General features: G+C 38.9%; 1 protein-coding gene and 1 pseudogene across 81 annotated transcripts in view; both read left to right on the top strand.

Annotated features, from left to right (window-relative positions):
- Positions 1-18378, top strand: part of CLASP2 (cytoplasmic linker associated protein 2) — a 222010-nt gene extending 203632 nt beyond the window's left edge. For all 81 annotated transcript variants that reach the window (NM_001375713.1, NM_001400406.1, NM_001375705.1 and 78 more), the window contains 3 exons: positions 3859-4065; positions 12855-12971; positions 15906-18378. In NM_001375713.1, coding sequence (NP_001362642.1) covers positions 3859-4065; positions 12855-12971; positions 15906-15992 — 411 coding nt within the window. In that variant the 3' untranslated portion in view covers positions 15993-18378. The remainder of the gene's footprint in view (positions 1-3858; positions 4066-12854; positions 12972-15905) is intronic.
- On the top strand, positions 22525-22640 carry RNA5SP128 (RNA, 5S ribosomal pseudogene 128; annotated as a pseudogene).

Genomic DNA, 27802 nt, shown 5'->3' with positions numbered 1-27802 from the left:
AGGACTGTATTTCTAAGAGAAAGCAACTGAGCAATAGCATTAGGTATCTATGGTAGAACCAAGACAGAAGCAAAAGACAAATCAAAAAAGGAAGGTTAAAATAGCAGTGAGATAAAATGAATGAGAGCCAAATGCAAGAGCTAAAGCTATAAACCTCTCCGAAGAAAGCAGAGGTATAAATCTTTGTTACCTTGGATTAGGCAGTGATTTCATAATATAACTAAAAGCAGAAGCAACCAACAACAGAAAACACAATTTGGACTTCATCAGCATTAAATCCTTTTGTGCTTTATTAGCTTAGTGGTCAGCTAGAGGTAACATTTAAAAAAAAAAATTGGCTGGGCATGGTGGCTTACGCCTGTAATCCCAGCACTTTGGGAGGCCAAGCAGGTGGATCACTTGAGGTCAGGAGTTCGAGACCAGCCTGACCAACATGGCAAAACCCCATCTCCACTAAAAATACAAAAATTAGCCAGGTGTCATGGTGGACACCTGTAATCCCACCAATTTGGGAGGCTGAGGCAAGAGAATTGCTTGAACCAGGGAGGCGGAGGCTGCAGTGAGCTAAGATCATGCCACTGAATTCCAGTCTGGGTGACAGAGCAAGACTCTGTCTCAAAAATAAAAATAAATAAAAAATCAAAGGAAATCTTTTCTGTCCTTCAAAGGACATTATCCTGAAAGTGAAAAGGCAACTCATAGAATGGGAGAAAAATTTTGCAGACATGTATCTCATAAGGTACTAATATCCATAATATATATTCTTACAACTCAGCAATGAAAAGATGGCCCAGTTTTTTAAATGGACAAAGGATCTGAATAAACATTTCTCCAAAGATATACAAATGGCAATAAGCACATGAAAAGATGTTCAACATCATTAGTCATTAGGAAAATGTAACCAAAGCCACAGTGAGAGACCACTTAACACCCAAAAGAAATATAGACAATATGTTGGTGAGGATGCAGGGAAATTGAAACCCTTGGGGTAATTACTTTTTTAAGAGATTTCACTGTGACTCTTTTAGAAGAGTGAATCATAACTTTTAAATATATCTGGATTTTTGCAGGGGTTTTGGGGTTTTTTTGTTTTGAGACCGAGTCTCGCTGTCACCCAGGCTGGAGTGCAGTGGCACGATCTCAGCTCACTGCAACCCTTGCCTCCTGAGTTCAACTGGTTCTCCTGCCTCAGCCTCCCAAATAGCTGGGATTACAGGTGTGCACCACCATGCCCAGCTAATTTTTGTGTGGAAACGGGGTTTCGCTGTGTTTGCAAGGCTGGTCTCGAACTCCTGGCCTCAAGTGATCTGCCTGGCTTGGCCTCCCAGAGTGCTGGGATTACAGACTTGAGCCACCTTGCCTGACCCAGTTTTGTTTTCTGTTTTTGTTTTTGTTTTATTCAACCGTGTTTGGTAGTGGTACATCTATGGCATTTCACTGAAAGTTTAAAAATGATACCTAATATTTGTAGTTTAGTTATCTACCTTTTGACCCAAATAAGGCCTGTAGCATCCCTACAAAATATAAAATTGACACCCTTAAGGTATTAAAGCTGAAATTAGCCCTGGGTCTTCTAACGTCCAGTGTATTTTCTTGTTTTTTGTTTGTTTGGTTGGTTGGTTGGTTGGTTTTTAGACGGAGTCTCACTCTGTCGCCCTGGCTGGAGTGCAGTGGCACGATCTTGGCTCACTGCAATCTCTGCCTCTCTGGGTTCAAGCGATTCTCCTGCCTCAGCCTCCCTAACAGCTGGGACTACAGGTGCATGCCACCACACCATGCTAATTTTTTTCTATTTTTAGTGGAGACAGGGTTTCACCATGTTAGCCAGGGTGGTCTCGATCTCCTGACCTCGTGATCTGCCTGCCTCAGCCTCCCAAAGTGCTGGGATTATAGGCTGAGCCACCACTCCTGGCCTTTTTTTTTTTTTTTTTTTTCCAGTGTATGTCCCACTGTACCTTTCTAAGCATTTTTCACCTATTGAGATCTTAAGTGAGAGACTGCCAAAGTAGCATCAAAAGCAGTTATTTTTACGTGTTCTTTTTTTTTTTTTTTTTTTTTTTTTTTTATTATACTCTAAGTTTTAGGGTACATGTGCACATTGTGCAGGTTAGTTACATATGTATACATGTGCCATGCTGGTGCGCTGCACCCACTAATGTGTCATCTAGCATTAGGTATATCTCCCAATGCTATCCCTCCCCCCTCCCCCGACCCCACCACAGTCCCCAGAGTGTGATATTCCCCTTCCTGTGTCCATGTGATCTCATTGTTCAATTCCCACCTATGAGTGAGAATATGCGGTGTTTGGTTTTTTGTTCTTGCGATAGTTTACTGAGAATGATGGTTTCCAATTTCATCCATGTCCCTACAAAGGATATGAACTCATCATTTTTTATGGCTGCATAGTATTCCATGGTGTATATGTGCCACATTTTCTTAATCCAGTCTATCATTGTTGGACATTTGGGTTGGTTCCAAGTCTTTGCTATTGTGAATAGTGCCGCAATAAACATACGTGTGCATGTGTCTTTATAGCAGCATGATTTATAGTCATTTGGGTATATACCCAGTAATGGGATGGCTGGGTCAAATGGTATTTCTAGTTCTAGATCCCTGAGGAATCGCCACACTGACTTCCACAATGGTTGAACTAGTTTACAGTCCCACCAACAGTGTAAAAGTGTTCCTATTTCTCCACATCCTCTCCAGCACCTGTTGTTTCCTGACTTTTTAATGATTGCCATTCTAACTGGTGTGAGATGATATCTCATAGTGGTTTTGATTTGCATTTCTCTGATGGCCAGTGATGATGAGCATTTCTTCATGTGTTTTTTGGCTGCATAAATGTCTTCTTTTGAGAAGTGTCTGTTCATGTCCTTCGCCCACTTTTTGATGGGGTTGTTTGTTTTATTTTTACGTGTTCTTAAGACTATCTTTAGAGATTACAGACTCTGGTAAGAAGATAGACAGCCATTTCTTGTCTTCATCACAAAACCAGTGTTTTACCCTCCCCAAGCTCAATACAGAAGGAAGAAAATATTAGGAAAACAAGGAGGAATAGTATGTTAACTTTTGACAACACATTAATCATATTATTTTTATATTTTATTTCTCATTAATGTGATACAGAGGGCTCAAGGACTCCTAGAGATGAGAGTACTAATAATGAGCAGGGCTTCAGCATGGCTTATGCAGGGGACTCCAGTCACATTGTAGTCTAAGTAAATAGAGCCTCCTCACACTAACACAACTAGACCACAATTTGATTTAAAAACTACTTTAAGGCCGCTCACGGCAGCTCACATTTGTAATCCCAGCACTTTGTGAGGCCGAGGCAGGAGGATTGCTGGAGCTCTGGAGTTTAACATCACCGTGGGCAACATAGCAAGACCTTATCTCTACTAAAAATAAAAATAAAAAAAATTAGCCGGGCATGATGGTGCATGCCTGTAGTTCCAACTACTCAGAAGGCTGAGGTGAGAGTATCACTTGAGCCTGGGAGTTTGAGGCTATAGTGACTGATGATCAAGCCACTGCACTCCTTCCTGGGTGACAGAGCAAGACCCTGTCTCAAAAAAAAAAAAAAAAAAAATACTTTAGCCAACAGCAAAAAAGAACACAAGAAGGGAGAATAGTGTAATAAAGCCCATGTATCCATCATCTAGCTTCAGCTGTTACTGACATTTTGCCAATCCTTTTTATCAGTAATCTGTACCCTCACTTTTCATGTTTGTTTACTGTAGCATTTTCAAAGCAAATTCCATATATTATATTGAATACTTCATGAAGTTTATACTTCCAGGATGTAGTGTAATATTTTAAAAATTACTTTCTGGCTTAATTTCCTATTTTTTTTAGGTGGTGAGATCTGCTGAGGAAGCGGCATCAGTGTTGGCCACTTCAATTAGTCCAGAGCAGTGCATCAAAGTGCTTTGTCCTATCATTCAAACTGCAGACTACCCAATTAATCTGGCTGCAATCAAAATGCAAACAAAAGTGATAGAGAGAGTGTCCAAGGAAACCCTAAACCTGCTTTTGCCAGAGATTATGCCAGGTCTAATACAGGTAAGCAACAAAGCTTGGAGAGGAATAAGCCATGATACATTTGGGATACAGTTATTTTAGGTACTTTCCAGGCATCATTACTGGCATGATCAAGCCTTCCTCCCGTTTGTCTGCAATATTCAGGACAAAGACTTTTCATAACTAGCCAGGGGGTTATAGATGTGGGTGTGGTAAAATTTACATAACATAAAATTAACGATTTTTAATTGTACAATTTAGGAGCATTAACTACATTCACAGTGTTATGCAACCATCACTACTATCCACATACAGAAATTTTTCATCATCCCAGACTGAAACTCTGTACCCATTAAGCAATAACCCCATTCCTTCCTCCCTTCATCCCCCCCAGCACCTGGTAACCTCTATTCTATTTTCTGCTAGATTCCTTATAAGTGGAATAATACAATATTTGTCCTTTTAAGTCTGGCTTATTTCACTTAGCATAATGTTTTCAGAGTTCATCCATGTTGTAGCTTGTATTAGAATTTCATTCCTTTTTATGAATGAATAATATGCCATTTATGTATTTGCCACAAATTGTTAATCTGTTCATCTGTTGATAAATATTTGGATTATTTCCTTTTTATTGACAAATATTGTAATAATTTCCTTGTAATATCTTCATGCACTTATATATATACATCTAGAAACAGAATTTCTGGGTGTTGCCAGATTTCACTCCAAAGTGGTTATACTAATTTATAGTCATAGATGTAATGTGTTTCTCTTTAGCTACATAAACCCCATCATAGAAACATTTTAACAAAAATGAGATGTGTTTTATAACATGCTTTAAAACTTAACCATACATTGTGAACTCTTTCCATCCAATAAATAATATTTTACAATATGATTTTAATGGCTGACTAATATTACATAGTATGTATATTAAGAACCCTCCTAAAGAGAACTAATCATTATGCATCTATAGTATTGTATTTTTTATTCTAGTCTAAGCTTAATATTACTAAATTGGGAGGTCCTAACATAAGATCTAGATATCTTTGTCTATGCCTTAGTACTAAGAACAGAGTATAATAGGCTGGGCACAGTGGCTCACACCTATAATACCAGCACTTTGGGAGGCCAAGGTGGGCAGATCACCTGAGGTCGGGAGTTCAAGACCAGGTTGACCAACATGGAGAGACTCTGTCTCTACTAAATATACAAAATTAGCCAGGTGTGTTGGCACATGCCGTAATCCCAGCTACTCGGGAGGCTGAGGCAGGAGAATTGCTTGAACCCGAGAGGTGGAGTTGGCGGTGAGCCAAGATAGTTAGGAAAGATGCTGGTATGGTTATTTTTTAATAGTAATAACATCAATACACATATCAGATAGATAAGATAGATTAGGACAAAGCAAATAATGATGTCATAAAATGAAGTAAATCTTAAAACCTTAACTTTGAATTGGGTATGTCAAAATGAAAATATTATTTAATTTCTTATCTCAAAAAATGTTTCCTACTAGCCTCTGAATCAGTATCAACTCAGTAACACTGAGCATCCCTACCACCCAGATTGTGGTCTTCAAATACCATTTTCCACTCAAAAGAGTCAGGTGTCTTTGGGAAAATGACTGAGTCCAGGTTTGGAGCAGGTAATGTATAAAATGAGCCTGAGAATTATTGACTGAAAGCAAGGAAACTATTCATGTTTGAGGGTCAAAAAGAATAATGCTACAATGAATTAAAATACATCAAATTTTAAAGTGAAATTCATGAGTTTATATTGATACTTTAAAAACTGGCCAACTTTGAAGATTATTGGTTATTCCCAAAATTGGTTAATAAAGAGAAAGAATCAAAGCTCATAGACTACCTATCCTATTTTCAGGATAACCAAATATTTGATGAGATAAAGTACTTTTAGAAGGATTCCAGCTAGTAAATTCAGAAGAAATTATTGACTTACAAAATTATTTTTGGCCAGGTGTGGTGGCTCATGCCTGTAATCCCAGCACTTTGGGAAGCCAAGGAGGGCAGGTCACTTGAGGTCAGGAGGTCGAGACCAGCCTGGCCAACATGGTGAAACCCCATATCTACTAAAAATACAAAAGTTAGCTGGCTGGTGGCAGACGCCTGTAATTCTAGCTACTCAGGAGGCTGGGGCGGGAGAATGGCGTGAACCCGGGAGGTAGAGGTTGCAGTGAGCCAAGATTGCAGCACTGCACTCCAGCCTGGGAGACAGAGTGAGACTCCATCTCCAAACAAAAAATATGTATATATATTTCTTAGGCAGTGTGTGGTAGCTCACACCTGTAATCCTAGCACTTTGGGAAGCCAAGGTAAGAGGATCACTTGAGCCTGGAAGTTCGAGACCAGCCTGGGCAACATAGTGATGCCTCGTCTCTACAAAAAAATTGTTTTTAATTAGCCAGGTTTTCTTACCTGGGTTGGTGGCTCACAGTGGCATGCCTATGGTCCCAGCTATTCAGCAGGCTGAGGTAGGAGAATCACCTGAGCCTGGGAATTTGAGGCTGCAGTGTGCTGTGATCATGCCACTGCATTCCAGCCTGGGTGACTAAGCAAGAGCCTGTCTCCAAAAAATATATATATATATTATATATATACACACACACACATATATATATATATATTTGGCCTCATTGAAACAATGGATATATGAAGTGATTTTCAGTAGCCACCAACATCGTTAGGTAAAAAGATGTTGCGGCAGGGTATATAATGGAGGAGTTAGACTAACAACATCTGAACCTACTGACCAATCTTAACATCACTGAAGGTGGGACAACTAGACAAAAGTTTTCTTGCCTGGCTTGGTGGCTCACGCCTGTAAACCCAACACTTTGGGAGGCTAAGGCAGGAGGATTGCTTAAGCCCAGGAGTTGGAGACCAGCCTAAGCAACATAATAAGAAACTGTTGCTACAAAAAAATTTTAAAAATTAGCCAGGCGTGATGGCATGTGCCTGTAGTCCCAGCTACTTGGGGGGCTGAAGTGGGAGGATCACTTGAGCTCAGGAGGTAGAGACTGCAGTGAGCCACAATCATACCACTGCACTTCAGCCTAAGTGACAGAGCAAGATCCTGTCTCCAAAAAATAAAAATTAAAAGTTTTCTTTTCTAAAGCAATTGAACCTAAATCTAATCCAGTCTTCAGTTTAACTGTCAGTTTAAAGGAAGTTCAGAGAATAGAGAAGCATGTTAAATTGTACCTTAAGGGTATATTCTGTCAAATTCAGAATGTAGGAAATTCTATGAGGAAAACTGCCAAATTTCTTTAGTAAAGAAATGGCATGAAGAAAGAGGAAGAGGAGGTTATCAACTGTTAAAGAGTCTCAAGAATCTAATCAACTTGGCTGGGTGTGGTGGCTCACGCCTGTAATCCCAGCACTCTGGGAAGCTGAGGCAGGCAAATCACCTGAGGTCAGGAGTTCAAGACCAGCCTGGCCATAGTGAAACCCCGTCTCTAGTAAAAATACAAAAAATCAGCCGGGTGTGGTGGTGCGCCTCTGTAATCGCAGCTACTCGGGAGGCTGAGGCAAGAGAATCACTTGAACCTAGGAGGCAGAGGTTGCAGTGAGCTGAGATTGAGCCATTGCACTCCAGCCTGGGCAACAAGAGCGAAACTCCTTCTCAAAAAAAAAAAAAAAGAATCTAATCAACTTGAAAAAGAACAAAATTGGAGTACTTACACTCTCAATTTTAAAACGTATTACAAAGCTATGATAGTAAAGACAACATGGTACTGTCATAAAGGTAGACTTAATAGATCAATGAAATAGAATCCAAAAATAACCCTCACATTTATAGGCAATTGATTATCACAGTTTTTTGTGGGGAAGAAGAGTATTTTTAATAAATGTGATGCTAGGACAACTGGGTTTCCACATGAAAAACAATGAAGTTGAACCCCTACCTCACACCATATACAGAAATTAACTCAAGGAGTGATGCACAGAAAATGGCAGACAGAGTAGGAAGCTCCAAGAATTGATCCATCTACTTAAGCAACCATTGAGCTGGCAAAAAATGAATAGAATCAACTTTTTTGGAACTCTAGGATCTAACCAAAAACTTATAGTAACCAAGAGAGTACTTAATGAAAGAAAAAGGCTTACTTTCAGTACTTTAGAATAATACTACAATGAATTAAAATACATCAAATTTTATTTCAAAGCAAATTCTTTTTTTTTTTTTTTTTTTTTTTTTTTTCGAGACAGAGTCTCACTCTGTCACCCAGGCTGGAGTGCAGTGGCACAATCTCGGCTCACTGAAACCTCTGCCTCCTGTGTTCAAGCAATTCTCCTGTCTCAGCCTCCTGAGTATCTGGCTGGGACGACAGGTGCCTGCCACCGTGCCCGGCTAATTTTTGTAGTTTTTAGTAGAGACAAGGTTTCACCATCTTGGCCAGGCTGGTCTTGAACTCCTGACCTCATGATCCACCTGCCTCGGCCTCCCAAAGTGCTGGGATTACAGGCATGAGCCACTGCACCTGGCCTATTTCAAAGCAAATTCTAAGTATCATGTCATATTAAATACTTCATGAAGTTTACACTTTCAGGACATAGGATAATGTTTTAAAAATTACTTTCTGGCTTAATACTTCCAGGACATAGTATAATATTTTAAAGATTACTTTCTGGCTTAATTTCCTGTTTGTTTTAGGTGGTGAGTTGCCTGGATAATTTTTTTAATTTTTTGTAGAGATAGTGTCTTATTATGTTGCTTAGGCTGGTCTCCAACTCCTGGGCTTAAGCAGTCCTCCTGCCTCCACCTCCCAAAGTGTTGGGATTACAGGCATGAGCCGCCAAGCCAAATAAGAAAACTTTTTTAGGTGGCATCTCATTGAATGACACATAATGTCTAGTTGTCCCGCCTTCAGTGATGTTAAGATTGATCAGTAGGTTCAGATGTTATTAGTCTAATCCCTCCATTATATACCTTGCCCCATCATCTTTTCACCTAATGATTTTAGCAGCCACTGAAAATCACTTCATATATTATTGTAGCATGATTCTATTCATTTTGGCCAGCTCAGTGGTTGCTTAAGTAGAGGGGTCAATTCTTGGAGCTTCCTACTCTGTCTGCCATTTTCTGTGCATCACTCCTTGAGTTAATTTTTGTATATGGTGTGAGGTAGGGTTTCAACTTCATTCTTTTTCATGTACTGAAAATACTTTTTTATTTTCAGTAAGAAACTTACCTAACTGCCTACCATCCCCCATGCTCAGTAGCCTTGATGATGGTGGCCCATATTTGTGGTGTAGCTTGCTGGTGCCAGGAGGGACATGGACCTTGTTCTCAAAAAATTGTGGTTATGTTTTGTTGTTGTTGTTGTTGTTGTTGTTGTTGTTGTTGTTGTTTTTATCTCTGGCATTCCCTGAGAGGCTGGCACAGAGACTAGCCTTTGTTTCACCTCCCATCAGGCTGAAGTGGCTTCCTAAGTGGAGTCTATTGAAAAGATTTAAAAACATACTACCCATAGCCACCTGAGGCAAGGGAGAGCAGACAAGACAAGCAGCAAACAAAAGCCTGGGAAGGAGGAAGCTGATGAAGAAGATAATTTGTGAAATAAGGGTTTTGCTGGGCCCACGTGTACTGAGGAATCCACCAAAAGTATGCTCAGAAAAGACTTTAGAGCAGGGGTCCCTAACCCCCAGGCCATGGACTGGTACTGATCCATGGCCTGTTAGGAACTGGGCCACACAGCAGGAGGTGAGCAGTGGGCAAGCGAGCATTACCACCTGAGCTTCGCCTCCTGTCAGATCAGCAGTGGCATTAGATTCTTACAGAAGTATGAAGCCTATTGTGAGTTGCACATATGAGGGATCTAGGTTCCATGCTTCTTATGAGAATCTAATGCCTGATGATCTGAGGTGGAACAGTTTCATCCTGAAACCATCCCCCCATCACCCTTCCCCATCCGTGGAAAAATTGCCTTCCACAAAACCAGTCCCTGGTGCCAAAAAGGCTGGGGACCACCGTCTTAGAGGGCCCTAGGCTTGGACCTCTGGATGTTCTTTGGGCTCCATGCAAGTAGGAGTTGGGCTAAGACAGAATTGTAGGCAGCCTAGCTAATTGAATGATTACGCAGCTCAGAGTCAATCTGCAAAGACTGGGAGAGTTTGTCTTGTTTTGTTTTGACCCCAGGCATTTAAGGAAATCTCTGTCAGGTCACTGGCTAACTGCTGAGGTAACAAAGAGACTTCAGTGACCACATACCGTAAACAAAATTTACTCAAACAAATCAGTGATCTAAATATAGCTACTAAAACTACAAAACTCATAGAAGAAAACATAGCGATAAATCTTTATGACCTTAGATTTAAGTTCATCCTCTATGGCAGTGGATTATTAGATATGACACCTAAAGCATCAATGATAAATAAAAAATAGGTTAATTGAACTTCATCAAAATTAATAACTTTTGTTCATCTCAGGACCTAATCAAAAAACTGAAAAGACAACCTATAGTATGGGAGAACATTCTTGCAAATTATATATCTGATAATGGTCTACTATCCAGAGTATATATAAAGAACTCTTATAACTCAACAGCAAAAGGATAAATAACTTTTAAATGGACAAAGGACTTGAATAGCTATTTCTTCAAAGAAGATGTACAAATGGCCAGCAAGTACGTGAAAAGATGCTTGGTGTCATTAGTAATTACGGAAATCAAAACCACAATGAGATACCACTTCATACCCACTGGGATGGTTGTGATCAAAAGAACAAAAATAACAGGTTTTGATGAGGATGTACAAAAATTGGAACCCTTATACATTGCTTGCATAAATACAAATTGGTGGTACAGCTGCTGTGGAATGCAGTTTGGCAGTTCCTCAAAAAGTTAACATAAAGGCCGGGCACGGTGGCTCACACCTGTAATCCCAGCACTTTGGGAGTCCGAGGCGGGTGAATCACTTGAGGTCAGGAATTGAAGAGCAGCCTGGCCAACGTGATGCAACCCCATCTCTACCAAAAATACAAAAATTAGCCAGGCATGGTGGCGGGCGCCTGTAATCGCAGCTATGTGGGAGACCGAGGCAGGAGAATTGCTTGAACCCTGGAGGTGGAGGTTGCAGTGAGCTGAGATCACATACTGCAGTCCAGCCTAGGCAACGGAGCAAGACGTCATCTCAAGGAAAAAAAAAAAAAGGAAAAAGATAAAGTTAACACAAAATTGTCATATAACCCACCTATTCTATTCCCAGGTATATACCCAAAAGAAGTCAAAGCAAATATTTAAATAGTTATACATGAATGTTCATAGCAGCACTATTCACAGTAGCCAAAAGGTGAAAACAACCCAAATATCCATTAATAAATGGATAAACAACATGATATATCATACAATGGAATATTATCCAATCATAAATATTACATTCCTATTCCACTCCTTGCCCATAATACCTCATTCTGCCATGCGATTCCCTAACTGTTCTGGGAAGGGACAGTGCGTGTCTTTTTGGACACTGAACATTATTTACCTGGCCTGTTCTTGTCACATACCAGGCACTTAAATATTTAAACATTGAATGCCATACTCTTTGCAGTGTTATTTGTAATAGGAAAAATTTAGCAGGAAGGAGGTTATTGGGGAGGAAGATGTAAACTTACAATACTCTAGAATGGTTAAATTAGGAAGCATACTAAATGAATGCCTCATATCATTATTATAAAGACCATATAGAAAAATTAATTTACATTATAATTGCAATTATATTAAAATGATGGAAAATAAAATTAACAGTTTGATTGCATGACTTAGGAATAATGTACTTCTTTTAGCTAGATATCTATTGATATTTTAATGTTTCTGCAGTTGTTTTAGAAAGATAAAATGATTAGGATTTTAGTGGAGATGAGCTCTATTTTTTCCCTGGAGTAAAATGTGCATATTCATTCAGATAATTCATTCAAAAATATTTCATGGATAAGATTGCTGTAGAGTATTGAAATAGAGTAAGTAGTGTGATCAAAAGCGTAAGTGGGAGAGATGGACAGAGAAAGGGAAGATGTTGGTCAAAAGGTACAAAGTTTCAGTTAAAGAGTATTAGGTTCTAGCTACGTATTACACAGCACAGTAACTAGTTAATAATGTATATTTCAAAGTAGCAATTATAAAAGAAAATGCATTTTAAATGTTACCACAAAGAAATGATAAGTATCTGAGGTGATGGATATGTTGATTAGCCTGATTTGGTCATTCCACAGTGTACATGTATTGAAACATCACATTATACCCCATAAATATATACAATTATTATTTGTCAATTAGAAACAAGTTAATTTTTTAAATAAAATTAGGTTATTAAAGGCACAGTAAAAGCATAGGGGAATAGTTTACATAGACTAGATTTATTAGAGAAAGTAATTGCAGGGATGGAACAGATGTAAAACTTAATCGGGCCTGGATTATGTGACTACCTTGAGCTACCAAACCAATGAATTTAGGTTTTATCGGATAGTGAGGAGTGCTGACTGCCTTAAAACCTAATGCTTTAGGAAAGTTAGTCTGGAGACTTTTTTCAGGGTGAATTGGCAAGTGAGCAGCCTCAGAGTCAGAGAAGTGCAGCTTTCCAGACTAAGTAAGAACCTGATATAGAGGGCTAACAGTGAGGGCGCAGTAGGGGAAGTGAAGGGAGAGAAGGGCATTGTCTATGCTTGAAAAGGTTAAAAAGTTAACTTTGATCTGCACTTTTCTCTCCTTAGTATGCTCGAGATTTCATCTTTCAGCTGCATCTTCTGACCCTGTTAAAAAGGGAGTACTAACAGTGGACTTCTCTGGAGTACTAACAGTGGACTTCTCTCCGTAGGGTTATGATAATTCAGAGAGCAGTGTTCGGAAAGCTTGTGTCTTCTGCCTGGTGGCTGTTCATGCGGTAATTGGTGATGAACTAAAACCACATCTCAGTCAACTTACTGGCAGTAAAGTAAGTAGTGCTGCTGTGTTTTAGAGATGGTGGCCATAGTACATCTTTCAAAACTTAGTTACATGTCTGTAACAGTAAGCTTTTTATTTGGCATTTAATAAGTCAGGCTTTGAGCATCCAACTTGCCCTTATTATTTCTGTTTTGTATTTTATCTTTTTCTACTCTAACATTTGTTAGATGTTCACTCAGGTGAAGTCAGCAGTTTGTTGGGGTGATGGGTAGGTTTCTGTGAGAGAAAATGCCTGCAGCTTCTGGTTATTTATAATAGTTAGCTGACTCCTTACCAAATCCCAGACCCAAATCTTTACCCCTGACCACTGTTTTATTAAGAATAAATAGACTGTTGTGGTTATATATATTAATGGATTACTGTATATCTCTCCAAATATAGAATACTTGCACATTTAAAAATTTTTCCCCTTAAGAACTATGATAATCAAATATTTGTTCTTCTCTTTCTATTATCCAAATTAATGTGCAACTTTAACTTGGTGTGTTAAAATAAAAGTTTTCTAATTCATTGTTCAGACTTAAAAAAATAAGTAAGTCTTGCCTTTCTCATTTGATTGCTACTACCAGTACTTTAAAATTCATTCTGCTAAGGTGGCCAGGCAAAGTGGTTCATACCCGTAATCCCATCACTTTGGGAGGCCGAGGTGGGAGGATCACTTGAGACCAGGAATTTGAGACCAGCCTGGGCAACATACTGAGAAGACCGTGTCTCTAATAATAAAAATGATAATAATTGTTTTGAATTAGAAGTTTGTTCTCAAGGGTGAAGATAACTTCTGATTGTTGAATCATGGCTTATGAACCATTTAGCAGAAAGCACTCACCGTCACTTAAAGAATTTCTGAAACCCTAAGGATTGTCTTACTGTGGTCAAATTTATCTTTTAATAGCAAAAAAGCAGAATATACATATAATGGAAAATGAGCCTAGGTAACACACTTTACATTAAGTTATAGATAGATTTAACAATAATTCTTAACTCGGGTTATAAACCACCTCGAGACTTAGGTAAAATCTCATCTTAAGAAAAATGCATTCAGATAAAACCATGAGAGACAAAGTTTTAAAAAAAATAGAAAAATGCACAATGGAAACAATTACATGTCGTTTCAGAGGGTTCTGTGATCCCGTGAATCCCATGGCTAGCAGGTTAAAAACTCTTGGATCAAAGAGTTAATGTTTAAAAAGCAAACCTTCCAAAACAATTAAAATTCAGCACTTTATCAGAACAGTAGGTAGCCAGTAATAATGTTACATGTGAAGACAGTAGGTAGGTGGAAAAAATATTTTGGAATAACGTTAGATGAAACAAGTAGGCCAGATGTGGTAGCTCCCACAGCACTTGGGAGGCCAAGGTGGGAGGATCACTTGACCTCAGGAGTTCAAGACCAGCCTGGTCAACATAGGAACACCCTGTCTCTACAAAAAAAGAAAAAAAATTAGCCAAGCATGGTTGCATGTGCCTGTGGTCCCAGCTACTTGGGAGGCTGAGGTGAAAGGATTGCCTGAGCCCAGGAGATTCAGGCTGCAGTGAGCCGTGATCACACCACTGCATTCCAGCCCAGGCAACAGAGCAAGACCCTGTATCAAAAAAAAAAAGTAGAACACAGAATTGTATATTTATTGATTACAAACTTCATAAAGTCATGATCTCATACAAAGACTGCAGAATGACACAGAGATATTTAAAACATTCTTGGTAGGATGACAGTGGCTTCATGGTCTAAGATCTTAGGTCCTGTAACCCAAATACCTGAATTCCTATTTTTGCCCACTTCTTACCCACCCCTGTGACCTCAGGCAGTAACTTAACCATTCTATATTGTTATTTCCTCATCTATAAAATATAAAGATAAAGATATAATGTAAAACAGCATATCGTGTAACACCTAGTACTCAATTGTTTGTTATTATTGCTTTAATGGTGACTTCTGAGTTTACTTTAATGTTATATTAGTCTGTTTTCATGCTGCTATAAAGAACTGCCCTAGGCCAGGTACGATGGCTCACAACTGTAATCCCAGCACTTTGGGATGCCGAGGTGGGTGGATCACAAGGTCAGGAGATCAAGACCATCCTGGCTAACACGGTGAAATCCCATCTCTACTAAAAATATAAAAAATTAGCCAGGCATGGTGACAGGCGCCTGTAGTCCCAGCTACTTGGGAGGCTGAGACAGGAGAATGGTGTGAACCTGGGAGGTGGAGCTTGCAGTGAGCTGAGATTGCGCCACTACACTCCAGCCTGGGTGACAGAGTGAGACTCCATCTCAAAAAAAAAAAAAAAGAACTGCCCTAGACTGAGTAATTCATAAAGAGATTTAATTGACTCACAGTTCCGCATGGCTGGAGAGGCTTCAGGAAACTTACAATCATGGCAGAAGGGTGAGCAAACATGTCCTTCTTCACATGATGGCAGGAAGGAGAAGAATGGGAGAGCTGCAGAGCGAAGCGGGCAAAAACCCCTCACAAAACCATCAGATTTTGTGAGAACTCACTATCACTAGAGCAGCACAGGGGAACTGCCCCCATGATTCAGTCACCTCCCACAAGGACCCTCCCCCAACACATGGGGATTACAATTCAAGATAAGATTTGAGTGGGAACACAGAGCTAGACCATATCAAAAGTTTTATATGTGATCCCTACAATATATTTTGAAAAGACATGATAAAATACTCTGTCATGAACAACTTTCAAGACTTAGAAACTTTTTTGACTTTTTATATTTTTTTCAGATGTGCTAGGCAAAAAAAAAATAATTTGTTATTCCTAATTATCAACAATAACTTGGGCATTATAATAACCCCCAGCCTAAAATCTATCTTTCAGAGCTCACATATATGTATATAATATTTTAATGAGTATCTTATAATTTGGAGCAGCTTGCTCAAATGACATTTATTTGGCTTGAATCTGCAGATGAAGCTACTGAATCTTTACATCAAACGTGCACAAACAGGTTCTGGAGGAGCTGATCCCACTACTGATGTTTCTGGACAAAGTTAGTGAAGCTCATCACAGCGAACCAGGTCTCTCAAAAGAAAGGACAGATAGACCACCCTCATCAATGAAAGGAAGTTCTCAAACACATCCTTTGGAACTTACTATTGTTTCCCAGTTTTAGTTTTTTGTTTCGTTTCGTTTTGTATTTTCTGTAACAGAGGACTATCCTCAGTCTGCATGTAACTTTTATGATAGTTATTCCAAATTCAAGAAGAAGCAGTATTAACATCAATTGATCGACACAAAGTAATTTTTAATTTAATTCATCATTTCACATGTTTGTACTTTGTCTTCCCATTAACCTTTGCCAGTGTTATGATTGTATAAATTTTTTTAAATGCTGGTTAAACAGGAATGCTTAAAGCTTTAAAAGTTTAACAGTCTAAAACATTTTTGCTTTTATTCAACTGCAGAATAATATTTTTATTGCTACTTTGAGTTTTGTTTCGTATCATGTCCTATGCTAGAAATATTTAAATGATGTGAAACAAAGCAGGACTAATTTGAACTACAGCTGGACTCCGTTTGTGTGATGGTGATACATGTCATTAGTTGCAACTTCTTTGGGGTGATCTATAGTTTGAAAACTAAAACCTCAAAGACAGATGTTACAGAATCAGCCAGTTCTGTAAAACTGATATTGTCTATTGGTTATTGATCTTGCCATCTTTATTTAAAACCATGTCCCTTCTATGATCCCTTAAGAAAGCTGCACCAAATCATCTGCCTGTTTTTTCTTGATACTTACTGAAATAGAAGGTTTTATTGCAGGGTTTATTTTGGTTTGTTTATATCTTTGTTGTGAATGATGCTTTTTTGTATTTATTAATATCAAATTCACTTATGAATAAACTTGATAATGGAAACGGACAAAAAAAATCAAGTGCGTGTGTGTCCTTGACCGTCTTCTGTTTCTCACGTAATAAACAAATTATCGAGACATGGGAGTGACCAGCACCTTTTCTTTAAATGGTGGAACCTGGTTTCCTTTTACCATGAAATTGTCTTACTTGAAAATATTGATCCTGATGAGAGAGAAGATGGTGCCAAGGCTGTCTTTGTATAATGGGCTCAAATTCTCTACCTCTTCAGGGCTAATACTTTTAACTGAGCTGCTGCCTATAGTGTCTTTTGGAAAACTACTTAAAGGGTGATTTTCTGTTACTTTTTAGCAAATTTTTTTAATCACCTCTTGCTACACCCATTCTTTTCATGTGCAGCCGACTCAAAAATTACCAGTTTTGGTGAAAGGCTAAATTAGATAATTTGGAACCAGGATACTAATGATTTCTCATCTTTACTTTTTTTTAATCCTAATATAAAGTGAATTTGATTGAAAAGGCAAATAGCTATTAGGGAAGCAGTTTGCCATTGTTGCAGAGTTATCTGTACTTTGTTTAACTGAAAAAAATGTAGAAATATATGTAAAGAATTTAAGACAAGAGTACTGAATGGATGATTTGTCATAGGCTTTCCCCTTTCTTTCTGTTCTAGCAGCAGGAAAAGTTTCTCTATATCCTCTCCCTCTACCTGTAACAATTTTGTTTTCTACTGTTAATTACATTGTGTATTTATAGTTCTATGCTTACTGTTGTGCATATACTGGCAATAAAACTGTACATAACATTACTTGAAAAAGTTAATAATGTATATCAGTTTTTCTGTCTCACTGTGTAACAAGTCACTCAGTTTTATTTTAACTTTAGACGGTCTTGTATCAGTGGTGGTCTCTTGAATTTTGTAAGTTCATCTGAGGAGAAAAGATTTTTCAGGTGTAGCTACCACAATCAAAGGTATATAGCTACATACGCATGTATATATTACAGCTTATCTGTAAGAAGAAAATGCATTTTAAACACAACTCTTCTCAGTAGCATTTTATGACCTTTGGATATGTTTGTAATCATTTCGAATCAAAATATTGATTTAATTTTGACCTCTGGTTTAAGATACTGCTTTAACTACTGTTGACAACCAAGTAGAGTGACTTAAGCTGAACAGTAACTAACTGGAAAATTAGATAAGCACCTGGCATCTAATGGCAGGCAGGCACTCAAGAAATGAATTAACTACATAATGGAAAAGTATGGTTTAATGTGTCCAAATGAAAGCTAGTAGATGTAAACATGGAAAAATTGTGTTTACAATTTTATAATCTCAGTTGATAAGACTATAAGAAAGCTGATTATTTAAATCACTATATACAATACACCCTTAATTTGTTCATTCCAGAAACATACTGAGATGTCAGCTACTTAAAAATGGTCACAAAAAGCTACTGTTTATATTTTTCCTCCTGCTATTCTCTCCCAAATTAATTATTAATAAGTGTTGTTCATTTACTGCACTGCTGAGAACTAATTAAAATTATATATTCCAGATTGTAAAACATGTTTATTTCTTCTGGGTTTCAAAATCTATAATATACTTCTGACATTTTCAAGTAACACGTGGTTTGAACCTGAGGCTTCAATTTTGTAGTTAATCTGCTGTGTTCCTTCATATTTTGTTCTTACAGACTTTAAGTCAAAATTACTTTTATTATTAAGTTATGTCTTACAGTAAAAGACTGGAATCTTACTGATAACATCATTGATAAGGCCAGGTCTATTTGTTAATTCAAATGTAGCTTATAATTGCTCAATTAGAATAGCATTTACAGTAAATAGAAATGATAATTAGCATATTACTCCATAATACATGAGGCTTTTTAAACTTAATTTTTTATATCTTTGCTTCTGGTATTAGTTTAATTCATTTTGTTGCAATTAGTACAGTTTTGCAGCCATATAAAAGGTTTGGAATTCCGTTGTTGAAAAAAAAAAAAGAGAAAGGCCGGGCACAGTGGCTCACACCTGTAATCCCAGCACTTTGTGAGGCCGAGGCGGGCAGATCACGAGGTCAGGAGATGGAGACCATCCTGGCTAACATGGTGAAACGCTGTCTCTACTAAAAATACAAAAAATTAACCAGGCGAGGTGACGGGCGCCTGTAATCCCAGCTACTCGGGAGGCTGAGGCAGGAGAACAGCGTGAACCTGGGAGGTGGAGCTTGCAGTGAGCCGAGATCACACCACTGCACTCCAGCCTGGGGGACAGAGCAAGACTCCATCTCAAAAAAAAAAAAAAAAAGAAAACCTATCAGTTAAAAAAATTATCCATCTTTATTGTAGGATATTTGGAAAATAATGAAAAACTGAAGAAGAAAAAAATTATTTTTAATATCACCACTAAAGATAATCTGTATTGCTTGCTGTTTTTTAGAATACTAAGATAATGAGTTTGATGTAATACTGAAAACTGAAAGGAAACATTAAATTTTGTTCACTGGAAGAGTGACAGGATTAGAATTAACTAACATTTTGAATACTTTTGTTCTGTGCATGTTATTTAACAATACTTTTGGGGGTTTTGTGGGGTGGGGTTTGTTTTTTGAGATGGAGTCTCACTGTCTCCCAGGCAGGGTGGAGTGCAATGATGCGATCTCAGCTCACTGCAACCTCAGCCTCCCAGGTTCAAGCAATTCTGCTTCAGCCTCCTGAGTAGCTGGGATTACAGGCGCATGCCACCACGCCTGGCTAATTTTTGTTTTAGTAGAGACAGGATCTCACCATGTTGGCCAGGCTGGTCTTGAACTTCTGTCCTCAAATGATTCACCCACCTTGGCCTCCCAAAGTGCTGAGATTACAGGCGTGAGCCACCATGCCTGGCCCTTAACAATACTTTTGAATATATTCTTTGTTCTAAAAGGTAGCTTCTAATGGAGCAAAGTGTTCCATTCTATGTGTGCAGCATTAATACTTGGGTTGTTAATATTCACTGAATATTCTTATAACAAATAGCTACATCTTTGGCAAATCTACAATTATTTCATAGTAGGCAATTTTATACATGACTTTAATATGGAATTGCTAAGTGTAGAAAGTCATTGTTTATTTGAAGATGACAGTAGTTGCTTAAATAGCAATGTTTATTATTATAATGGTAATCTACAGTAGAACAGGGAAACAAGATTTTTTTACTTTATACAGACCCGATTTTCAGTATTCAAATTTACCTGCATTCATTCATGCAACAGATATCTGAGTACCTCCCTTCAAGGACACAGTAAAGCACATAACTATAATACAGTGTGGTTAGTGCTATGATGTAAACAAAGGGTACAATGATGGGAGCTAGGAGCTGGGGCTGGAGGAGTTGCAAATAAGGTATAATCATTAGACGCTTCCTAGAAAAAGAGGTGATGCTTAAACCTAGTCTAAAGGCAGAATGTATCTGAGATACATTGGGGGTTATAGAGTGAGCAGAGAAAAGAAGCAAAAGTAGCAAGGCAGCGATGTATAAAATGGCAAGAGGCATTAGGGCATGTCACTGGAACTTTATAAACCACTGTTTATTTTCATAAATTTAAAAAATCTCCCTCCCTTCTCCTTTAAAAATATCTGCAACAAAAACAGCCACGAGTGGTGGCACATACTTGTGGTCCCAGATACTCAGAAGGCTGAGGCAAGAGGATCACTTGAGCCCAGGAGTTTGAAGCCAGCCTGGGCAACATAGTGAGACCCCATCTCTAAAATACAAAAGAAAAAAAAAATCTGTGCATCCTTGCAAGCAAGCAAACTTGGATATAGCTTTTCTTTTATTGGTTAGTATTTCAAAAGTTTTTCTCATCTTGTAAAGTTATACTATTGAATTTCCTTTTCCAAACTGAACATAGTATCTCCCCAACTGGCCACTGTTAAACACAACTTGGTTTGACTAGAACATGAGATAGTGGGGAATGGCCCAAGATGGAGTCATAGATATTCTAAGATATATATTCTATGGTATAGTCTGTGAGCTAAGGATTCCACTGAAGACTTCAGCAGAATAATGCAATTAGAATTAACATCTCAAACACTTCAATTTTACATAATCTGAAAACTTCAGAAGTGAGATGGTTTAGACTCCAGTTTTTTACATATTGGCCTCTACTACTAACCTGGTTCTGATGTCCTTCATTCACTTATTAAATATTTGAGCACCTGCTGTGCATCTGACACCCCTAAAGTCTGCATGCTATAAATATGTAGTTGTGGACCTGGTAATGGGAAAAACGTGTTAATGTGTCCTCGGAAATTAGAGTGATATGGGAGGGGCTGGCTTGTTACTCGGGGTAGGAAAGCGCCCAGGGATGCTGCTTTTTGCAAACCATGCTGACCAGCATGCTTTGTGCAGCTCTGGTCTCCCTGTATTCATTCAATGTTAATGGCAGACTCATGGGGCAGTATTTTTCCCCTTAAGAAACTGTAAATCTATTATTTATTGGAAGTGAATGCAAAAAGAGATTGCCTGACAGTTTTGCTAGTTTTAGTCTAAAGCCACATTTACAATAATTTTCATCAAAGTTTAGGTCAGAGTGGAGATGTAGAATCAAAGTTAGATTACATCAATAAAGCAAAAAATGTGCTTTTTCTTCTCTATCTTCCTAAAGCAGTGGTTCTCAACTGCAATAACTTTTGCCTGCTAGAGGACATTTGGCAGTATCTGGAGACATTTTTGATTATCTCAATTTGGATGTGGAGGCACTATTAGCATCTAGTGGGTACAGGCCAAGGAAGGTGCTAAACCTCCTACAATACACAGGACAGCCCTCCACAGCAAAAAATTATCTGGCCTCAAATGTCAATAATGCACAAGTTGAGAAACCTTGCCCTAAAGCAAAGGAATTCCCATAGATAGGTCCTAATATTGCCCTGGTTAAAAGCACTGAATCAGTTTTGATTTCTTACTTTGTCTAGAGATATGTTCTCACTTTGTCACACAGGCTGGAGTGCAGTGGCACAATCAGTTCATTGTAACCTGAACTCCTGGGTTCCGGCAGTCCTCCCACCTCAGCAACCTGAGTAGCTAGGACTATGGGCACGCACCACCATGTCCAGCTCATTTTTTTTTAATGTTTATTTTTTGTAGAGACGGCGTATCACTATGTTTCCCAGACTGGCCTTCAACTTCTGGCCTCCAACTTCTGGCCTCAAGCGATGATCTGTTCTCTGCCTCCCAAAGTGCTGGGATTACAGGTATGAGCTACCACACCCAGCCTGAATCAGTTCTTTTACACTAATAAATAGAAAGGTGAACAATTTGGAGATCACTTCTAGCTGATTGATTTTAGGATAAATTTTCTCATTTTTAATGATGAACTCACATGTCAAATATTCAACACAAATCATTGATCCTCAACTCAGGCCAAACTGTCACTGCTCATTTTCTACTATAGCTTATTCAATTTTGAAGTTTCTGTTTAATGCTATGCTAGTCCCTCAAATTTTGGTCTCATAAAAGTGATTTTTATTTCAAAAAACTGATGTTCGGCCCCAGAGGTGAGAGAATTTCCTTACAGTGAGGTTTACTCCAAGCAGGTTAGCAGCAGTGAACGACTTTGGGGTTGGCTGGGCAGTATTAAACATTAGATAGTCATTCATATATTGTATGTTTATGCTTATACGAAGTACCTAGAGTAGTCAAAGTCATAAAAACAGAAAAAAAAAATGGTGGCCTATGGCCATACCATCCTGAACACGCCCAATCCCGTCAGATCTCAGAAGCTAAGCAGGTTTGGGCCTATTTAGTACTTGGATGTGAGAAAATAGGATGGTGGTTGCCAGGGGCTGGGGGCAGGGAGAAATGAGGAGGTATTTAATAGGCACAGGGTTTCTGTTTGGGATGATAAGAGTTCTGGAGACGGATAGCAATGATGGTTGCACAACATTGTGCATGCACTTAGTACCGCTGAGCCAAACACTTAACAATGATTAAGATGATAAATTAAAATGATTAAGATGACAAGATGATAAATTTTGTTACATGTATTTCTCCACAGTTAAAAACAATAAAATAACTTGATAGTCATTAAAATGAGTTCAAGGCCAGGTGCAGTGGCTCACACCTGTAATCACACCACTTTGGGAGGCCAAGGTGGAAGGATTGCTTGAGGTCAGGAGTTTGAGTCTAGCCTGGCCAACATGGTGAAACCCTGTCTCTACTAAAAATGCAAAAATTAGCCAGGCTTCGTGGCACAGGCCTGTAATCCCAGCTACTCTGGAGGCTAGGGTACAAGAATCACTTGAGCCCCTGGAAGCGGAGGTTGCAGTGAGCTGAGATTGTGCTACTGCACTACAGCCTGGACGACAGAGTAAGGCTCGGTCTCAAAAAAAAAAAAAATAACCATGCCTGTAGTCCCAGCTGCTTGGGAGGCTGAGGCAGTAGGATCACTTGAGCCCAGGAGTTTGAGGCTGCAGTTAGCAAAGATTGAGCCACTGCACTTCTGGTGACAGCAAGACCCTGTCTAAAAAAACAAAAGTTAAAAAAAATCTTAAATGAGTTCAAAATATAAAAGTGATTAGAACCCTGTTTACTACCTAACCTAATGATTATATGTAAGGATGTTGAGACAGAATATATAGAATATCTACATAGATGATTTTATATGCATATGAACACAGTAGGCAAATTGAAGCAACTTTTTTAAAAAGCAGCTGTGTTGAGAGTGTTTGCCCACAGGAATTGTGAGATTTCTGTCTTTGCTTCCTCTCTCACTTTCTCTCTGCTTACCTTGTTCCTAATGTCAATTTCACTGATTCTGACTTCATCACTGATCTCTTTGTTTTTCTAAATTTGGCACATATGATCAGACCCATTTTATCTAAACCCTACCTCCTTTAAGTTTCATACCATAGGCAGATCTACCACCTCCCTCTCATTATCACCCTTGCATTCTGCTGTTGCTTCAAGGACTTGGCATCTGGCCCACAAATTTCCCTATCTCCCCAAGGGAGGTAGAGCAGAGTGGTTAAGAGAATGGGTTATGCATTGGAACTACTCTAGTGGAAATCACTGTTTCCACCAGTTGGACAAGTTACTTAACCTCTGAAAACATTGAGTTTTTCATCTACAGAACTGCAAAAACAATAGCACTTATCATATAAGATTGGTTGTGATAACTGAAATAATGTCTGTCTCTTGAGCATAGCCTGATATCTGCAAGTGATGGCCTTGAGGACTATAGTCTTAATGGATGGTGGTAGCCATCCAGCTGACGTCCCTGACTGCTGCTGCCTTCCTTCAAGCTCAGTTATTTCCCCAGCCTGGCCCTGAACTGTTCCACCTTAACGATCGTAAACCCAGCAGTTCATTTGCCAATTGCACGCTTTAATTTTTTAATTGTGATAAAAAATACATAGCATTAAATTTGTCATCTTAACCATTTTTAAGTGTAAAGTTCGAGTGTTAAGTATATTTACATTGTTTTGCAACAGATCTCTAGAACTTTTTTATCTTAGAATACTGAATCTCTATACTTTCATAAAATACTGATTCGGCCGGGCACAGTAGCTCATGCCTGTAATCCCAGCATTTTGGGAGGCCGAAGCAGGCCGGTCACAAGGTCAGGAGTTCGAGACCAGTCTGACCAACATGGTGCAACCCCGTCTCTACTAAAAATACAAAATTTAGCTGGGCATGGTGGCACGCACCTGTAATCCCAGCTACTCAGGAGGCTGAGGCAGGAGAATCGCTTGAATCTGGGAGGCAGAGTTTACAGGGAGCCAAGATCATGCCACTGCACTACAGCCTGGACGACAGAGCAAGACTCCATCTCAAAAAAAAAAAAAAAAAGCACTGATTCCTCTTTCCCACTTCCCTCAGTCCTTGGCAACCACTTTTCAACTTTGTTTTCATGATTTTTGACTACTTTAGATACTACATATAAGTGGAATCATATAGTATTTATCCTTTTGGGACTGGCTTATTTCACTTAACCATAATTTCTTCAAAGATTCATTCATATTGTAGCACATGACAGGAATTCCTTCTTTTTTAAGGCTGCATAACAGTTCCACTATATGTATTTATCACATTTTCTTTATCCATTCATCCACTGATGAATATTTGGATTGCTTCCACCTCTTGGCTATTGTGAGTAATGCCACACAGGCATTTGTTGTTGTTGTTGTTTTAACCATTTATGTGTTTCCAGCACTGTGAACAATACTTGGAACATAATAAGTACTTAATAATCATTTAATAAACGAATACAGGAATGAATTAGTGCAGTGAGCCTTTAGAATATCCAAATCCTGGATGGGCAGGGTGGCTCATGCCTGTAATCCCAGCACTTTGGGAGGCTGAGGCGGGCAGATCACCTGAGGTCAGGAGTTCGAGACCAGCCTGGCCAACATGGTGAAACCCTGTCTCTACTAAAAATACAAAAATTAGCCAGGCGTGGTGGCACACGCCTGTAATCCCAGCTACTTGGGAGGCTGAGGCAGGAGAATTGTTTGAACCCGGGAGGCAGAGGTTGCAGTGAGCCGAGATCATGCCACTGCACTCTAGCCTGGCCAATAGAGCGAGAAAAAAAAAAAAAAAAGAATATCCAAATCCCCTAAAAACAATAAAATTGTCCTATGGCTTTTCACATTCAGACTTTTGTTGCTGCTTTATATTTCAGCAAAAAAATACATAATAAATGCTTTATGCTAATTGTTCTTTCCTATGTGGTCTTGCACCAAGTACATTAGATGCATTACTTCTTTTAATTAGAATATTTAAGGCAGGTGTTATTATTATTATTATTTTATCATCATTCCTACTTTACAGAAGAAGAGACTGAGACTTAGAGAAGTTAACTGATTTGCCCAAGGTCTTGTAGCCTACAAGTTGTGTAACCAGTCTTTAAACCCAGACTGTCTGAGGCCAGAGATAGAAAACTTAATCTCTGTGTGTGCTATAAATGCCCTAGCTATTCTACATGAACATTTTTAAGATTTTTCCCTCTTTATGAATATGAGTGTCCATTAAGACCTTAAAAAAAATCCTATGGCATTTCAAAATTGCTTTTGAATGACTGGTGCATGAAAATACTGAGTTTCTAAAAATGTACATATGCGACCTAGGTAAGTACTCAAGTAAAGTAATATTCATAGTTGTTAAAGAAGAAGATGCAGTTTCTATATCCTCTTTTTTACTGGAAGCATTAATATAATGAGGCCTCACAATGCAACTCAAACAACATTTGTCTTGGAGGTAGATGTTGAATAACCTAAAGCAGGGCTGGTCAGGGCAGCAAGAGCTCCGTGGTTGCAGCTCCCTCACCTCCAATTCCCAATGTTCCAGCAGCTCACTGAGACTGCTGATCCTTCTGATTACATCATCCTTTCCCAATTGTCCTTTCTCGCTTTGCTTGTCTGTCTTCAAGACTGGATGGTGAAGAGAGTCTCAGGAAGACATCATACAACATCCTGATGGAGGAGTAGCCAGCCCAGATGAGAACTGGGTATAGTTGATTCTAGGAGGAAGGTCTCCAAGGGAAAGAAAGAGGAGGATTTACTTGATGAGTGGATACATTGAGGGTACTTCTTCAGATTTGGGAAGTGAATTAACATAGGTAAACTTCACAATAAAGCAAATGAAAAGCAAAGGCTGTATCACAATACACTATATCCTCATGTATGACTAATATTTAAACACACATAACAATAATGGAAGCTGACTTAACCAAAAAGTTGATATAACCGTGATGATGCAGGAGGTATGTAGAGTTGAATCCTCACCTTCCACTGTAAAAAGCCAATAGAGCCGGATGCAGTGGCTCACACCTGTAATCCCAGCACTTGGAAGGAAGCCAAGGCAGGCCGATCACTTGAGGACAGGAGTTCAAGACCAGCCTGGCCAACATGGCGAAACCCCGTCTCCGCTAAAAATACAAAAAAATTAGCTGGGTATGGTGGCACGCGCCTGTAATCCCAGCTACTCAGGAGGCTGAAGCACAAGAATTAGTTGAATTTGGGAGACGGAGGTTGCCGTGAGCCAAGATTGCACCATTGCACTCCCGGCTAGGCCACACAGTGAGACTCTCTGTCTCAAAAAAAAAAAAAAAAAAAAAAGCTGGCCGGGCACAGTGGCTCATGCCTGTAATCCCAACACTTTGGGAGGCCAAGAGGGGCAGATCACCTGAGGTCAGGAGTTCGAGACCAGCCTGGCCAACATGGTGAAACCCCATCTCTACTAAAAATACAAAAATTAGCCAGGCATGATGGTGGGTGCCTGTAGTTCCAGCTACTCGGGAGGCTGAGGCAGGAGAATTGCTTGAACCCAGGAGGTGGAGGTTGCAGTGAGCCGAGATCACGCCACTACACTCCAGCCTGGGTGACAGAGCGAGACACCTTCTCAAAAAAAAAAGAAAAAAAAAAAAGCCAATAGATATTGTCTAGAACAGAATACCAGATAAAATCACTAAGAGTTAAAAGCGACTCCTTTTTGGAAAGTAGCAATCTCATGAGCCAGGAGAGTGGGACAGTTTTGTTAAAAGCCTAATGGTATTAATGGATATTCTAAAGGTTTCTAAGATTTTCCTCTCTTTGATTTTCTTTAAAAAATAGATAAATTACACCAGCACTTCCAGATGTGTGCTGTTCATGATGACAAAAACAATAACCAAAAAAAATCAATGCATGTGTGAATGATATATGATTTTAAGTTTGGGAAAAGATGCAAGGATACATTCAAGATTGCAGACATGCAACATGGAGGTGGGGTAGGAGGACTAAGGAAGAGAGAAGAAAGAGTGTTTGACATGTGGGATATATTAATAATTTCATTTATGTAAATATAGATTTGTATTTATGAAAGTCTTACCCTATGATATTGTTTGGTTGTATCCCCACCCAAGTCTCATCTTGAATTATAGCTCCCACAATTCCCACATGTTGTGGGAGGGACCAAGTGGGAGATAATTGAATCATGGGGATGGTTTCCCCCATACTGTTCTCGTGGTAG

The sequence above is a fragment of the Homo sapiens genome, chromosome 3 (genome assembly GCF_000001405.40).
Source record: "Homo sapiens chromosome 3, GRCh38.p14 Primary Assembly".
Taxonomy (NCBI): Eukaryota; Metazoa; Chordata; class Mammalia; order Primates; family Hominidae; genus Homo; species Homo sapiens.
Note: the sequence above shows the minus strand (reverse complement) of the source record. Positions and strands in the feature narration are given on the sequence as shown.